We start from the raw sequence: 17592 nt of genomic DNA, 5'->3' as shown, positions 1-17592 counted from the left end.
ACTTTAAAGTAGTTTTTTCCAATTCTGTGAAGAAAGTCATTGGTAGCTTGATGGGGATGGCATTGAATCTATAAATTACCTTGGGCAGTATGGCAATTTTCACAATATTGATTCTTCCTACCCATGAGCATGGAATGTTCTTCCATTTGTTTGTAACCTCTTTTATTTTGTTGAGCAGTGGTTTGTAGTTCTCCTTGAAGAGGTCCTTCACATCCCTTGTAAGTTGGATTCCTAGGTATTTTATTCTCTTTGAAGCAATTGTGAATGGGAGTTCTCTCATGATTTGGCTGTTTGTCTGTTATTGGTGTATAAGAATGCTTGTGATTTTTGCACATTGATTTTGTATACTGAGACTTTGCTGAAGTTGCCTATGAGCTTAAGGAGATTTTGGGCTGAGATGACGGGGTTTTCTAAATATGCAATCATGTCACCTGCAAACAGGGACAATTTGACTTCCTCTTTTCTTAGCTGAATACCCTTTATTTCTTTCTCCTGCCTGATTGCCCTGGCCAGAACTTCCAACACTATGTTGAATAGGCGTGGTGACAGAGGGTGTCCCTGTCTTGTGCCAGTTTTCAAAGGGAATGCCTCCAGATTTTGCCCATTCAGTATGATATTGGCTGTGGGTTTGTCATAAGTAGCTCTTATTATTTTGAGATACGTCCCATCAATACCGAATTTATTGAGAGTTTTTAGCATGAAGGGCTGTTGAATTTTGTCAAAGGCCTTTTCTGCATCCATTGAGATAATCATGTGGTTTTTGTTTTTGGTTCTGTTTATATGCTGGATTACGTTTATTGATTTGCGTATGTTGAACCAGCCTTTCATCCCAGGGATGAAGATCACTTGATCATGGTGGATAAACTTTTTGATGTGCTGCTGGATTCGGTTTGCCAGTATTTTACTGAGGATTTTTGCATTGATGTTCATCAAGGATATTGGTCTAAAATTCTCTTTTTTGGTTGTGTCTCTGCCCGGCTTTGGTATCAGGATGATGCTGGCCTCATAAAATGAGTTAGGGAGGATTCCTTCTTTTTCTATTGATTGGAATAGTTTCAGAAGGAATGGTACCAGCTCCTCCTTGTACCTCTGGTAGAATTCGGCTGTGAATCCGTCTGGTCCTGGACTTTTTTTGGTTGGTAGGCTATTAATTATTGCCTCAATTTCAGAGCCTGTTATTGGTCTATTCAGGGATTCAACTTCTTCCTGGTTTAGTCTCGGGATGGTGTATGTGTCCAAGAATTTATCAATTTTTTCTAGATTTTCTAGTTTATTTGCATAGAGGTGTTTATAGTATTCTCTGATGGTAGTTTGTATTTCTGTGGGATCGGTGGTGATATCCCCTTTATCATTTTTTATTGTGTCTATTTGCTTCTTCTCTCTTTTCTTCTTTATTAGTCTTGCTAGCGGTCTATCAATTTTGTTGATCTTTTCAAAAAACCAGCTCCTGTATTCATTGATTTTTTTTTTTTTTTTTTTTTTTTGAGACAGAGTCTCGCTCTGTCACCCAGGCTGGAGTGCAGTGGCATGATCTCGGCTCACTGCAACCTCCGCCTCCTGGGTTCATAGCATTCTCCTGCCTCAGCCTCCCGAGTAGCTGGGACTACAGGCACCTGCCACCACGCCTGGCTAATTTTTTGTATTTTTAATAGAGAAACGGTTTCACTGTGTTAGCCAGGACGGTCTCGATCTCCTGACCTCGTGATCCACCCACCTCAGCCTCGCAAAGTGCTGGGATTACAGGCATGAGCCACCACGCCTGGCCCTCATTGATTTTTTGAAGGGTTTTTTGTGTCTCTATCTATCTCCTTCAGTTCTACTCTGATCTTAGTTATTTCTTGCCTTCTGCTAGCTTTTGAATGTGTTTGCTCTTGCTTCTCTAGTACCTTTAATTGTAATGTTAGGGTGTCAATGTTAGATCTTTTCTGCTTTCCCTTGTGGGCATTTAGTGCTATAAATTTCCCTCTACACACTGCTTTAAATGTGTCCAAGAGATTCTGGTATGTTGTGTCTTTGTTCTCATTGGTTTCAAAGAACATCTTTATTTCTGCCTTCATTTCGTTATACACCCAGTAGTCATTCAGGAGCAGGTTGTTCAGTTTCCATGTAGTTGAACGGTTTTGATTAAGTTTCTTAATCCTGAGTTGTAGTTTGATTGCACTGTGGTCTGAGAGACAGTTTGTTATAATTTCTGTTCTTTTACATTTGCTGAGGAGTGCTTTACTTCCAACTATGTGGTCAATTTTGGAATAAGTGCGATGTGGTGCTGAGAAGAATGTATATTCTGTTGATTTGTGGTGGAGCGCTCTGTAGATGTCTATCAGGTCCATTGGTGCAGAGCTGAGTTCAATTCCTGGATATCCTTGTTAACTTTGTGTCTCGTTGATCTGTCTAATGTTGACAGTGGGGGGTTAAAGTCTCCCATTATTATTGTGTGGGAATCTAAGTCTCTTTGTAGGTCTCTAAGGACTTGCTTTATGAATCTGGGTGCTCCTGTATTGAGTGCATATATATTTAGGATATTTAGCTCTTCCTGTTGAATTGATCCCTTTACCATTATGTAATGGCCTTCTTTGTCTCTTTTGATCTTTGTTGGTTTAAAATCTGTTTTATCAGAGACTAGGATTGCAACTCCTGCCTTTTTTTGTTTTCCATTTGCTTGGTAGATCTTCCTCCATCCCTTTATTTTGAGCCTATGTGTGTCTCTGCACGTGAGATGGGTCTGCTGAATATAGCACACTGATGGGTCTTGACTCTTTATCCAATTTGGCAGTCTGTGTCTTTTAATTGGAGCATTTAGCTCATTTACATTTAAGGTTAATATTGTTATGCGTGAAGTTGATCCTGTCATTGTGATGTTAGCTGGTTATTTTGCTCGTTAGTTGATGCAGTTTCTTCTTAGCATCGATGGTCTTTACATTTTGGCATGTTTTTGCAGTGGCTGGTACTGGTTGTTCCTTTCCATGTGTAGTGCTTCCTTCAGGAGCTCTTGTAGGGCAGGCCTGGTGGTGACAAAATCTCTCAGCAACATCTTACCATGTTGCCCAGACTGACCTTGAACTCCTGGGCTCAAGTGATCTGCCTGCCTCAGCCTCCCAAAGTGCTTGGGATTAGAGTTGCACCCAGCTGGTCCTCAGAAAATTTTGAATTTTGGAACACTTCAGATTTTGAATTTTCAATGCTCAACTTGCATTTGCTCCCACTAAAAAATAAATAAATAAATAAATAAATAAATAAATAAATAAATACAGGGCAGGCCAGGTGCAGTGGCTCACGTCTGTAACCCCAGCACTTTAGGAGGCCAAGGTGGGTGGATCATTTGAGGTCAGGAGTTCAAGACCAGTCTGGCCAACATGGTGAAACCCCATCTCTACTAAAAATACAAAAATTAGCTGGGCGTGTTGGTACATGCCTGTAATCCCAGCTACTCGGGAGGCTGAGGCAGGAGAATTGCTTGAACCCAGGAGGCAGAGGTTGCAGTGAACCAAAATCGCACCACTGCACTCTACCCTGGGTGACAGAGCAAGACTCCGTCTCAAAAAAACATACACAGAGCAATATACAAATGAGATATTCAAATAAATCTTTCTGGTACAGCATACAAATGAGGTATAAAATATTTTTAATTGTTTTTTTAATTCATGGCTGAGCTGGAAGATGTGATTTCCTTGGAGGCCAGAAACAAGAAAGTTACAAGCCCAAGGGGTAAAGTGAGTGGGAGGAGTTGATCACTTTCGAAACACCACCAGATACATCCTCTCCAGCACCCTGAGACCAATTTACTGCTGAAAGGGCTCTTAGGGTATTTAGAACGCAATGTTTCCAGTGCATCAGAGAGAGAACTGGAGAGTCTTCAGTGTTAGCAAAGTGATATAAAACACTTCTCCCAAGGGTCCTGAATTATATTACTTATTTTAATTCATCAAATAAGGCAACAGACTCAGGGACTAAGAAACCAATTCAACATTGGTGGCTGATTTGCAATAAAACCAGAACTTAAGCTGCATTTCAGCTGCTCAGTCCAGTACTCTGGGCACCACCCTAGAAGTGGGGCATATTGCTGGCTGCTGGCTTGAGCATCTGCTAAACGAAACTTAAAGGCTCATATTTTCCACATGTGAAAACAGCTTTAGCAGTTACAGTCCCAAACGTTTAAATGAACACTTGAGGCCCGCAGTATGTGAACAAAATTGATAAAGAAGCTGGCCAGGTCAGTTAAAAATGAGGAGATTCTATGATTAAATAGGGAAGACTATGCTGTAAGTGGGTTGAAATCCCCAACTGCATAACATGTGGATGGCAGGAGGCATCTTTTAAACTGAAAAATAAGAGCACTGCAAGGGGCACAACTTTCACTTATCTAAACCCTCCTCCCAGGACCCCTGGAAACTCCCTCTGGTTGACTGCTAAGAAATGAAGCTTCTCATGGCCCCACTGCCCTTTTGGATTCACTCTAAGTTGAACTGGCTTCTTCAGGTAGTTTTTCACTTGTTACCAGTCTATTTTCCAGGCAAATGTAATGAAGTCAACCACTGATTTGAAAAAAAAAAAAAATAACAATTTTTTTTTTTTTTTGAGACAGAATCTTACTCTGTTGGCCAGGCTGGAGTGCACTGGCGTGATCTCAGCTCACTGCAACCTCCGTGTCCTCAGTTCAAGCAATTCTCCTGCCTCAGCCTCCTGAGTAGCTGGGATTACAGGAGCCTGCCACTACGCCCAGCTAATTTTTTGTATTTTTAGTAGAGACGGGGTTTCACCATGATGGCCAGGCTTGTCTCGAACTCCTGACCTCGTGATTCACCCGCCTCAGCCTCCCAAAGTGCTGGGATTACAGGCGTGAGCCACGGTGCCTGGCCAAAAAAACCCACAATGTTTTTAAATATTAAGTACGATTCACATAATTGAATTTTGCTTAGGGCTCCACCAGGGAAAATATGTCTACCTATTTTGCTTATTGGAGTTCTTTAATAAGTAAAAGGTTTTCAGAGAACTTCTTCACTTTGAGTTGGTCTAGGCCCATAGACAGCACAAAACTGCCAGGTGGCATGGAACTGGGGAGGGAGGGCACCTTCGCAGGTGGTTTCCTGAGTTGGTCTGGCCTTGTGTAGCCCCTGAAGGACTTATAAGCCCCAGGGTGGCATTGTCCCTGACTTTCTGGGCTTCTGCTGCTCTGGCTCAAACAAGATTCTGGCTGAGCTTATGAATGTTGTTTATATAACCTCTGAACTCATCTGCTTGCTAGGCTGGTGGCTGAAGTTATTCATTCATTCAGCAGGCATTTAACAAGCACTTTCTGCCATGCCAGGCATTCTGGTAGTGTTGTGAACTCAGAAACAAAAGATGCATTCCCTAGGTAAAGAAGTGACAGCTTAATGGGAGGCCAAAGAAGGAAGAATAGAAAAACAACATTTCTATTACAGTTGAAGTTGACAGAACCAACCACAGAAACCAGCCTGCCGTGATACAAGGAGCAACTATTTGAGCTGAGTTTTGACTGATGAATGGGGAGTTAGCCAAGGGTGGTGGGGAGGAAGGTTTGTATTGCGTGCATGTATGAGTATGTATATGTATGTGTGGTGGTGGGGAGTTGAATAAGTAAATGAATGAGAACGGGTTTTTATTTTATCTTCCATACTTAAAAATTTAAAAATATTTTTTAACAATGATGATGACTAGTACGTCTCATTTAATGTGAGTCCAAATATATGTCAAATCTCAATATGGAAATTTCTGACATTAAGAAATGTCAAAGCTTTTAAACATTACCAAATTCTAAGTATTAATAGAGATCCAGGCACCCTTTAAGAAAATTGTGTGTGTGTTTTTTGTTTTGTTTGTTTGTTTTTTGAGGCACAGTCTCACTCTGTTGTCCAGGCTGGAGTGCAGTGGTGTGATCTCAGCTCACTGCAAGCTCCGCCTCCTGGGTTCACACCATTCTCCTGCCTCAGCCTCCCGAGTAGCTGGGACTACAGGCGCCCACCACCACCTGGCTAATTTTTTGTATTTTTAGTAGAGATGGGGTTTCACTGTGTTAGCCAGGATGGTCTCGATCTCCTGACCTTGTGATCTGCCTGCCTTGGCCTCCCAAAGTGAAAAAATGTGTTTAGAAAGAAAACATCATCAATAAAAAAGAGTCAAACTCTGTAAAATATTTTTCTGAGCCAAATATGAGTGACCATGGACCATGACACAGCCCTCAGGAGATCCTGCGAACATGTGCCCAAGGTGGTCAGGGTGCAGCTTGGTTTTAAACCTTTTAGGGAGGCATGAGACATCAATCAAATACATTTAAGAAATACATTGGTTTGGTCCAGAAAGGCAGGACAACTCAAAGCCAGGGCGGGGCCAGTGGGGGGAGGCATCTCCAGGCTATAGGTAAATTTAAACATTTTCTGGTTGACAGTTGGTTGAGTTTGTCATTGGTTGAGTTTGTCTAAAGACCTGGAGTTGACAGAAAGAAAATGTCCAGGTTAAGATAAAAGATTGTGGAGGCCAAGGTTCCTTTGAAGTCCTATAGTGAATGCCCTTAGAGACAGTAGATGACAAATGTTTCCTGTTCAGATCTTTAAAAGGTGCTAGACTCTTAGGTAACCTCTTTAGGATTGGAAAGGCCTGGAAGAAACAGATCTAGGTATGTTAACAGAGATTCTTTACAGATGCAAATTTTCCCCCACAAAGGACAGCTTTGCAGGGCCATTTCAAGATACGGCAAATAAACATGTTTTGGGGATAAAATAATTTTATTTTCTTAATTGTCTTGTAATGTTATGCCAGAGTCAGGTTGGAAAATAAGTCACAATATATAGGGTTAAATAAAACCCATCTGATGAGAATTTATGGTTTGTAGGGTATGATTCCCCAGACCCCTTAGATAGGAATTTGGGCAAGATAAAAAAAAAATCAGAGATTAGTCCTCACATAGAAAAGAAGCAAATTCCCACTCTGACTTTAGAATGTTCACAAATCATCCATATGGATTTTTTGTGATTAATTAATAGTAAAGGTTTTGGCCATATGCTATAGTGCCCAATTAGAGCACTGCAGAAAGTAAATAACCATGCTCGATTTTCTCTCATTCTATTTTCAGTTCGCATGTTTAACTTTATGTAGAGTCAGGGAACATGTTGCTCTTACTTGCAAATTTTAACTAATGGTAATGGAAAATACCCACCCTTAAGGATCTTAAATTAAGTACACATGTTATATCAGTCCCTCGATACAATGGATGAATGACATCCAGGTGAGGTTTTAAAAGGTGGGCGAGGTCTTAGCACTACTTAAGAATTAAATCTCTGAGACCAGAATGATCAAACTATGTATTGTACTTACAATTTCAATTAAAAAAATGCTGAAGTGTCACTCGAGAGAAATGGCTTCATATCAAAGAAGAAAGCAAAGGGGTGTCTAAAGATAAAAGAGTGTATTTCACTAAGCACCAGCACTTAGCCAGCTAATATTGTTTAAACTATGATCATGAACCATGGCAAATTCTCATGACCTTAAAGAGAGCACACAAATGAAATAACCAACCCATTCCACATCCAAACCCAGTAGATTTATACCCAGTTTCCAAAGAGGTATATGTTGCCTGAGATAGGAACACCAAGTTTTAAAAGTCCAAAAGCTTGCAGAAATCAGGATTGTAGCATTTATTTGGAGAAGTTTATTTGATTCAGGCTCCAGTTTGATCAGCAGATGGGAAGCAGGTTCTTTCAATGCTTTCTATCTAAATTTGCCACACGGAAGAAGTTATTTGTTATCATTTAAAATATGAGGTATGGCCGGGCGCAGTGGCTCACGCCTGTAATCCCAGCACTTTGGGAGGCCGAGGCGGGCGGATCACGAGGTCAGGAGATGGAGACCATCCTAACACAGTGAAACCCGTCTCTATTAAAAATACAAAAATTAGCCGGGTGTGGTGGCGGGCACCTGTAGTCCCAGCTACTCGGGAGGCTGAGGCAGGAGAATGGCATGAAACCGGGAGGCAGAGCTTGCAGTGAGCCGAGATCGCACCCCTGCACTCCAGCCTGGGCGACAGAGCGAGACTCTGTCTCAAAAAATAAAACATAAAAAATAAAATATGAGGTATGAGTTTCATAAAATTCCAAGTGAGGCTGGAACCTTGAAAGTTCCAACACTAGAACAGCTTCGGATGAAAAAATACACGCCCCCTCCTTACTGCTTCCCCATTCAGTCACCTTACTTCCTAACATGGCTGAGTTCCAAGAACCTTGATCATTTTTCCAAAGGAGAGTCCTCAGAATTGTCTCATTCTTAATTGGTGAGAGGCAAAATTGTTACAGGAAAAGGGTCCTAGTCCAGACCCCAAAAGAGAGTTCTTGGATCTCGCTCAGGAAAGAATTCAGGGCGAGTCCACAGTGCAAAGTGAAAGCCAGTTTATTAAGAAAGTAAAGGAATAAAAGAATGGCTACTCCATAGACGGAGCAGCCCCAAGGGCTGCTGGTTGTCCATTTTTATGGTTATTTGTTGATGTTATGCTAAATAAGGGGTGGATTATTCATGCTGCCCCTTTCTAACCATATAGGGTAACTTCCTGACGTTGCCATGCCATTTGTAAACTGTCATGGTGCTGGTGGGAGGGTAGCAGTGAGGAGGACTAGAGGTCATTCTCGTCACCATTTTGGTTCTGGTTTTGGCCAGCTCCTTTACTGCAACCTGTTTTATCAGCAAGGTTTTTATGACCTGTATTTTTTGCTGACTTCCTATCTCTCCTGTGACTTAGAATGCCTTAACTGCCTGGGAATGCAGCCCGGTAGATTTCAGCTCATTTTTCCCAGCTCCCATTTAAGATAGAGTTGCTCTGGTTCACATGCCTCTGACAGAATCACTAAAGGAAATGGAAGAATGTTCACATGATTTTCAGATTAATCACTTAAGAGGGGAGACTAGACTATAATATTTACCAAAAAGATGTGCTGACAATAAAGAATGAAAAAGATGTCAGGATGGAGTCAATTTTGCTTTTTTTTTTTTTTTTTTTTTTTTTTTAAAACAAATCCCAGCATTTTGGGAGGCCAAGGCAAGAGGATCTCTTGAGACCAGAAGTTTGAGCCTGGGCAACATAGTGAGACCACGTTTCTACACATAAATAAAAATTAGCCAGGCATGATGGCACATGCTTGTAGTTCTAGCTGCTCAGGAGGCTGAGGTCAGAGAATTGGTTGAGTCCAGAAGTTTGAGGCTGCAGTGGGCTATGATTGTGCCACTGTACTCCAGCCTGGGTGACAGAGAGAGACCCTGTCTCTAAAAAATACAAGAAAAATAAAACTCTTAACTATGTTTATTGATATTTGCAACCTACAACCAACCCTCTGTCATACATTTTTTTTTTTTTTTTTTTGAGACGGAGTCTCGCTCTGTCGCCCAGGCTGGAGTGCAGCGGCGGGATCTCGGCTCACTGCAAGCTCCGCCTCCCGGGTTCACGCCATTCTCCTGCCTCAGCCTCCCGAGTAGCTGGGACTACAGGCGCCCGCCACTACGCCCGGCTAATTTTTCGTATTTTTTAGTAGAGACGGGGTTTCACCATTTTAGCCGGGATGGTCTCGATCTCCTGACCTCGTGATCCGCCCGCCTCGGCCTCCCAAAGTGCTGGGATTACAGGCGTGAGCCACCGCGCCCGGCCACTGTCATACATTTTTATGAGGCAATGTGACCCAGTCTTGCTGAAGAAATGAACACAAGATAGATTCATTCAACATAATTGCAGCTTAAGACAACAAATATTTATTATCTCAGAGTTTCTGAGGATCAAGAATCCTGAGGGGCTTAGTAGGGTGGTTGTGCCTCAGGATCTCTCATGAGCTTGTGGTCAAGCTGTCAGTCATCTCAAAAGCTCAAGTAGGGGCTGGGTACAGTGGCTCACGCCCGTAATCCCAGCACTTTGGGAGGCTGAGGCAGGCAGATCACCTGAGGTCGGGAGTTCAAGACCAGCCTGACCAACATGGAGAAACCCCGTCTCTACTAAAAATACCAAAAAAAAAAAAAAAAAAAAATTAGCCGGGCATGGTGGCGCATGCCTGTAATCCCAGCTACTCGGAAGGCTGAGGCAGGAGAATCACTTGAACCTGGGAGGTGGAGGTTGCGGTGAGCTGAGATCGTACCATTGCACTCTAGCCTGGGCAACAAGAGCAAAATTCCATCTCAAAAAAAAAAAAAAAAAAAGCTCAAGTAGGGGAGGGTACATTCCCAAGTGCATTCACATGGATTCTGGCAAACCTCAGTTCCTCACCATGTAGGTCTCTCCACTGGCTGCCCAAGTATCATCTCTTCATGACATGGCAGTTGATTTCCCCCTGAGCATGTGATTCCAGAGACAAAGAGCAAAGGAGCAAACCAAAGTCAGAAGCCAGTCTTTATATAACCCAGTCTCAGAAGTATTATCCCATCACTTCTGCTATATTCATTCACTACAAAGGAATCATAAAGTCCTCCCTGCACTCAAAGGGAGAAGAATTAAGTTCCACCGCAATGAGAGAAGTATCAAATAACTTGTGGACATACCTTTAAAACCATGCTTATGGATACCATAGGGTCAGATAATAAAAATCTGGGCTAGCAAAGCACAGAGATCAGAATTATCAAAGATTTTTTTAAAGGATTTTTGCTTTGAATACAGACCTTTTTTACGATTCAAAAATGAGAGGCTTCCTAGAGAACTTGTTAGATACAAAAATATAGTAAATAAGATTTCATGGAAGCCATGTCTTTCTTGGCAGGAAAAACGGACTTGTCCCATCTTTTCAACCTTAATGGGAGTCCCTTAAAATCAAGGATCTCTGCTCTGAAAGCACCTTTGCATTTGCAGCAATCAATACGAATGTACTTCCCTGACTGGTGACCACAGGTTGATAATGACTAGTATGGGACTAAAGGTAACATTAAAAAGGAGAAAAAAACCTAGATAAACATGAAGGAATATGCACTATGTTCTGCAGTGTCTTGAATGGCACCGGGCCTGGGTTAAGAACCAAACTCTATGACTACAGACATAAAATTTACCAATTACTGAAGGATAACAATTACAGGTCACATTTATTGAGCACCTACTCTGTAACAAGCATTGTTCTAAGTGCTTTACAAACACTCATTCACATAATCCTCACATCAATCTACTAATAATACTCTCATATCCCCATCTTGCAGATGGTTGAACTAAGACACAAAAAGGGTAAGTAATTTGTCCAAGGTCACAGAGGTATTAAGAAGAGAAGATGGGATTTGAATCTAGGTAATCTGGTTCCAAGGGCCATGCTATTAACTTCCACAGGGTCTGATCTTCTCTACTTACCCTCAAATCTTTATGATTTTTTCTTATATTACTATTCCCTATATACATACTTATAATGAGCCATTTCCCCAAAGGTAAACAACTTTTCAGTACAGATCTGTGAAGTTAGTGATTATACCATATGAAGAGGATGATCAAGGAGGAACTGCTATTCCCCCACACTGACCTGGATAATTAATGTTGTCCCCAAAGTAATTTCAAAATTTAAGATAGAATATGTCAAAGCAGAGTCTGATCTTTTCTTTCTTAGGAAATCTGAGTCATGGCTTGATTTGGACTTGCTGACTTGCTGGTATACTGTTTCCCCTTTTTTCTGTGGTTTATGATGATGAAAATAAAAGCGGACATCATATGTATAGCTCATTAACTGGAGACAATCACCAAATGTTGAAATCAGCTTGCTGAACTAACCATGACCCTTCTTGAGTACGTTCAATCATATGCTGAAAAGCACTGCAAAAAAGAAACAATGTGTTCAAACCCCAAGAATGTCCTTGAAAATAACAAAGTCATCTATTGGGAATGTCCAGAAACTGGGAAAGTTAGAGCAACCTGTAAAATTATTTTAACTTTGGTTAAGTTCCTGGCAAGAATTGCCATTAACAATCATACATGACCTGATTTTATTTAGTTGGGAAATAAAGCAATCTTACCTCTGACATGAGGAAGTTTTAGTCTTGTACTTCCTCTCCCATTCATGTTATTTTAATCTTGCATCTCCTATTCTTTTTAGTCATTCTTTCAGGAACTATTTTTACAGTAACAACAAGGAGTAGTTGTACGTATCTGGACTTCAAACAATGAGGCACAGCCTTTAGCATGTCTGTCTACAGTCAAAAGCACTTTCTAAAGAATTAGAAGCAATGGTTACTTATCTCAAAATTAGCTCTTTCCTCTTTGGCCGAGGGGCGCTGTGCAACACAAACCATGAAACAGAAGTTTTCCTGTTTTACATCAGGCTTGAGCACTTCCTGCATTGCTCACCACTTCTTTCCGTTTGGGTTACTTACCTATTCAATAAGCAGAACAAAGCTCAGTCAAAACTGCAAGATGGCTCACTCTTTTTTTTTTTTTTTAATTATACTTTAAGTTCTGGGATACATGTGGAGAATGTGTAGGTTTGTTACACAAGTATACATGTGCCGTGGTGGTTTGCTGCACTCATCAACTAGTCATCTATCCTTCCCCTTGCCCCCCACCCCCTGACAGGCCTCAGTGTGTGATGTTCCCCTCCCTGTGCCCATATGTTCTCATTGTTCAACTCTCACTTATCAGTGAGAACATGTGGTGTTTGGTTTTCTGTTCCTGTGTTAGTTTGCTGAGAATGATGGCTTCCAGCTTCATCCATGTCCCTGCAAAGGACATGAACTCATTCTTTTTTATGGCTGCATAGTATTCCATGGTGTATATGTGCCACATTTTCTTTTATTTTTTTATTGTACTTTAAGTTCTGGGATACATGTGCAGAACATGCAGGTTTGTTACATAGGTATACACGTGCCATGGTGGTTTGCTGCACCCATCAACCCGTCATCTACATTAGATATTTCTCCTAATGCTATCCCTCCCCTACCTCCCCTAGTCCTCCACCCCCCCGACAGGCCCCAGTGTGTGATGGTCCCCTCTGTGTGTCCATGTGTTCTCATTGTTTGACTCCCACTTATAAATGAGAACATGCAGTGTTTGGTTTTCTGTTCCTGTGTTACTTTGCTGAGATTGATGGTTTCCAGCTTCATCCACATCCCTGCAAAGGACATGAACTCATCCTTCTTTATGGCTGCATGGTATTATATGGTGTATATGTGCCACATTTTCTTTATCCAGTCTATCATTGATGGCCATTTGGGTTGGTTCCAAGTCTTTGCTATTGTGAACAGTGCCACAATAAACATACACGTGTATGTGTCTTTATAGTGGCATGATTTATGATCCTTTGAGTATATACACAGTAATGGGATTGCTGGGTCAAATGGTAATTCTGGTTCTAGATCCTTGAGGAATCGCCACACTGTCTTCCACAATGGCTGAACTAATTTACGCTCCCACCAACAGTGTAAAAGTGTTCCTATTTCTCCACATCCTCTCCAGCATCTGTTGTTTCCTGACTTTAATGATCACCATTCTAACTGGCATGAGATAGTATCTCATTGTGGTTTTGATTTGCATTTCTCTAATGACCAGTGATGATGAGCTTTTTTTTCATAAGTTTGTTGGCTGCATAAATGTCTTCTTTTGAGAAGTGTCTGTTCGTATCCTTCACCCACTTTTTGATGGGGTTGTTTGCTTTTTTCTTGTAAATTTGTTTAAGTTCCTTGCAGATTCTGGATATTAGCCCTTTGTCAGATGGACAGATTGCAAAAATTTTCTCCCATTCTGTAGGTTGCCTGTTCACTCTGATGATAGTTCCTTTTGCTGTGCAGAAGCTCTTTAGTTGAATTATATCTTATTTGTCAGTTTGGGCTTTTGTTGCCATTGCTTTTGGTGTTTTAGTCATGAAGTCTTTGCCCATGCCTATGTCCTGAATGGTATTGCCCAGGTTTTCTTCTAGGGTTTTTATGGTTTTAGGTCTTACGTTGAAGTCTTTAATCCATCTCGAGTTAATTTTTGTATAAGGTATAAGGAAGGGGTGCATTTTCGGTTTTCTACATATAGCTAGCCAGTTATCCCAACCCCATTTATTAAATAGGGAATCCTTTCCCCATTGCTTGTTTTTGTCAGCTTTGTCAAAGATCAGATAGTTGTAGATGTGTCACATTTTTTTCTGAGGCCTCTGTTCTGTTCCATTGGTCTATATCTCTGTTTTGGTACCAGTACCATGCTGTTTTGGTTATCGTAGCCTTGTAGTATAGTTTGAAGTCAGGTAGCATGATGCCTCCAGCTTTGTTCTGTTTGCTTAGGATTCTCTTGGCTCTACGGGCTCTTTTTTGGTTCCATATGAAATTTAAAGCAGTTTTTTCTAATTCTGTGAAGAAAGTCAATGGTAGCTTGATGGGGATAGCATTGAATCTATAAATTACTTTGGGTAGTATGGCCATTTTCATGATATTGATCTTCCTATCCATGAGCATGAAACATTTTTCCATTTGTTTGTGTCCTCTCTTATTTCGTTGAGCAGTGGTTTGTAGTTCTCCTTGAAGAGGTCCTTCAGATCCCTTGTAAGTTGTATTCCTAGGTACTTTATTTTCTTTGTAGAAACTGTGAATGGGAGTTGACTCTTATCTCAAAGGATACTCTATCTCCTCCCTGGATGTGACCCATCCCTTAACACCCAATACTTTACAACTTTTCTGTGGGCCAGGGGCGGTGGCTCATGCCTGTAATCCCGAGGTGGGTGGATCACCTCAGGTCAGGATTTCAAGACCAGCCTGACCAACATGGTGAAACCCCATCTCTACTAAAAAAAAAAAAAAAAAAAAAAAATACAAAATTAGCTAGGCGTGGTGATGCACATCTGTAATCCCAGCTACTCAGGAGGCTGAGGCAGGAGAATCACTTGAACCCGGGAGGCGGAGGTTGCAGTGAGCTGAGATCATGCCATTGCACTCCAGCTTGGGCTATAGAGTAAGACTCTTATCTCTCAAAAAAAAAAAAAAAGGACTTCTCTGTACTGAGGCACTGTACTCATATTTGTTCTTCATAAGCATGCTCCAAGCCTTCAAAATCTGCCACCTCTACTTCCTCCCTCTTCACCCCCATCCCCTCATTAGGATTCCTGTTGCCTTGGTTTGAGGATCCTAGGTGTTAGTTGAACACCTGAGAATAGCAAGTTTCTATAATAGCAATTGATCTACTAACACAAGGGCAGGAATCCTCAATGGTGGGATTTCAGGAAATGTCATATGCTAGTAGGAGTTATATATGTAAGTAAGAAAGCCTTCCATGTGCTTTTCAAAGTGTATCAGGTAGGTGATGAGCAACTCCATTTATGTGTAAAGACAGCCCTTGTAATACATTTTTCGTACACTTTGAGTATTCACAAATTATTCTGGGGTGACCTATTGAGTGATAGAGAAATGGACAAAGGTGAGGGTAGGATCGCTCTTTGAAATACTGGAATACCTAACCCTAACAGAATAGAATGAAGGTAATTTCATGCTGCCACTTACAGGAAAATAAAGTGGCTCCACTTTAACCATTTGGTGAAATCTCTTTAGCCCTTTGGTTATCTCTACTGCTACTATTACAAAGGAGTAATTTTAAAATGGTCTCTTGTGTTCAAGCCCTAAAATAAAATGGGCTGAAGGAGTATGGGATGTGGTAAGGAGACAAGAAGGTGATAGGTCAGCCCTGTTAGACTTTGCTCTTTCTTTCTCTTTTCTTCCCCCACAGGCAGAGGAAGATGCTACTATGAACCCTTGTTGCCCTATTTTCCACTCAGTGGCCCTTATAGAAAGCTGTTTGGGAACAGCATCATTAGCGGGTAAGTTAAATTGGCTAAAACCTCCTCATGGACTGCTGGTGTTGCTGCTTTAAGGTATAGAGAATCGTCTGGTGTGGTGGCTCATGCCTGTAATCCCAGCACGTTGGGAGGCTGAGGTGGATCACTTGAGCCCAGGAGTTTGAGACCAGCCTGGGCAACACAGCGAGACCTGTCTCCACAAAAATATAAATTTTAAAAAATTATCCAGGCATGGTGGTATGCACCTATAGTCCTACTACTCAGGAGGCTGAGGTGGGAGGACCCTTTGAGCCCAGGAGTTTGAGGCTGCAGTGAGCTATGATCGCACCACTGCACTCCAGCATGGGTGACAGAGTGAGACTCTCTCTCAAAAAAAAAAAAAAAAGGACAGAATACATAGCTGCCATTCACAAGTCAGAGAAGAGCTATTCTGTCACAGAGTGTGATGAAAAGAACATAAGCTTTGGAGTCAGACAACCTAGCTTCACAGTCTAGCTAAATGCCCTCAGGCAAATGACCTTACCTCTTTTGGTTTCAGCAATATGCATCCTGGTACATAGTTGTTGCTCAACAATTGTTTGTTCCCATGGTTTTCTTTCCAGGTCACTGGAATCTACAAAGCCACCATAACCACTACTTTCCAGCTTGCGCCTGTGGTATCTTCATGAATTTTCTGCCATAATTGCACTGACCTCTTGCTTTATCAAACAGACAAGGACATCTGATTCTTCCAGCCCTCAGTACTTCTCAGAAATACAATCTTCTGACCTGTCTGAATTTCTCTGGAAGAGAACTTACCAGTCCTCTGGAGCCTGTGACAGCAGCTTATAAAGGAAAGTAATAAAAGAAAGTGGAGGTGAACCATTTTGGGCCCCTTTTCAAGAGGGAGGGTAGGTGTGGTTTTTGAGATCAAGTCCATTTGTCTAAAATTTCTTCCTCCTCTTATTTTGATTAGAAGTCTTCTCTGACATCCCATTCCTTTCCTAAGGTCTGGTGGAGTATACCAAAGGAAGAACTTCTGGAAGCTTTCCTTTTTTTTTCTCAACAGAGATTGTTTCTATATCCTGTGTTGTGAGTAGAATGTAGTAGGCACATTAGAGGCCTTCTTTCTCTTATTTCATATAACTGAGGATTTTGATGTATGGATGCTATCTATGGGGAAGGAGATATATGGCTTTGAAAAACATATTTGGAAGCAAAAATATTGGGAGCCTGGGCCCATCTAGAAGTCTGACTCTAATTGGTAGTCCTCTAAATGATGAAATACCCAAATTCCCACTTTGGCATCTCTTGGTTATTGATATTATTATAATAGTGACAGGAGGAGGTTGTTGTCGTAGTCCATTTAGGCTGCTATAACAAAATACCTGAGACTAGGTGATTTATAGATAACAGAAAATTATTTTTTACAGTTCTAGAGGCCGGGAAGTCCAAGATCTAGGTCCTGGCAAATTCAGTATCTGGGGAGGGCCTGATCCATAAGTGCCACTTTCTTATGGCATCCTCTCATGGTGGAAAAGGCAGAGGGGCAAATTAATAAACGAACAAACAAACAAAAAAAAGTGGGGGAAGAGGGATGAATGCTGTGTCCTTACATGGCGAAGACATAAAAGAGCAAAAGGCACGAGGGCACTCCTTTCAACCTCTTTCATAAGGTCACTAATCCTTAATCGTCTCCTAAAGGCCCTATCTTTTAGTACTAACTTTTGTGACTAAGTTTCAACATATGAATTCAGGTGGGGAGGCATGTTTAGACCATAGCAGTTGCTGATTTGGAAACTGTAAAATGGAAAATAGGAGACAGTCTGTAAAATTTTGTCTGAGACAGGCATGAAGCAGCTCAAAGTCTACTCCCACGGTATCTGCAGGCATGAGGTAAAAAAGT

General features: G+C 41.4%; 1 protein-coding gene across 5 annotated transcripts in view; it reads right to left on the bottom strand.

The window, feature by feature from the left end:
• The window catches only part of PPM1L (protein phosphatase, Mg2+/Mn2+ dependent 1L), a 322672-nt gene that overhangs the window by 31308 nt on the left and 273772 nt on the right, over nucleotides 1-17592 (bottom strand). The window contains exon 4 of one of the 5 annotated variants that reach the window (NR_134243.2): nucleotides 11475-11761. The exons of 3 other annotated variants lie outside the window; for them this stretch is intronic. Coding sequence is in view for 1 of the 2 variants with exons in the window: in XM_011512440.4 (XP_011510742.1) it covers nucleotides 12311-12318 (8 nt within the window). In the remaining variant the exon portion in view is untranslated. Of the gene's footprint in view, nucleotides 1-11033; nucleotides 12319-17592 lie in introns of those variants that run through there. One more of the 5 variants, XM_011512440.4, reaches the window with a different exon arrangement.

The sequence above is a fragment of the Homo sapiens genome, chromosome 3, assembly GCF_000001405.40.
Source record: "Homo sapiens chromosome 3, GRCh38.p14 Primary Assembly".
Taxonomy (NCBI): Eukaryota; Metazoa; Chordata; class Mammalia; order Primates; family Hominidae; genus Homo; species Homo sapiens.
This window is presented reverse-complemented; position numbering and strand designations above follow the sequence as displayed.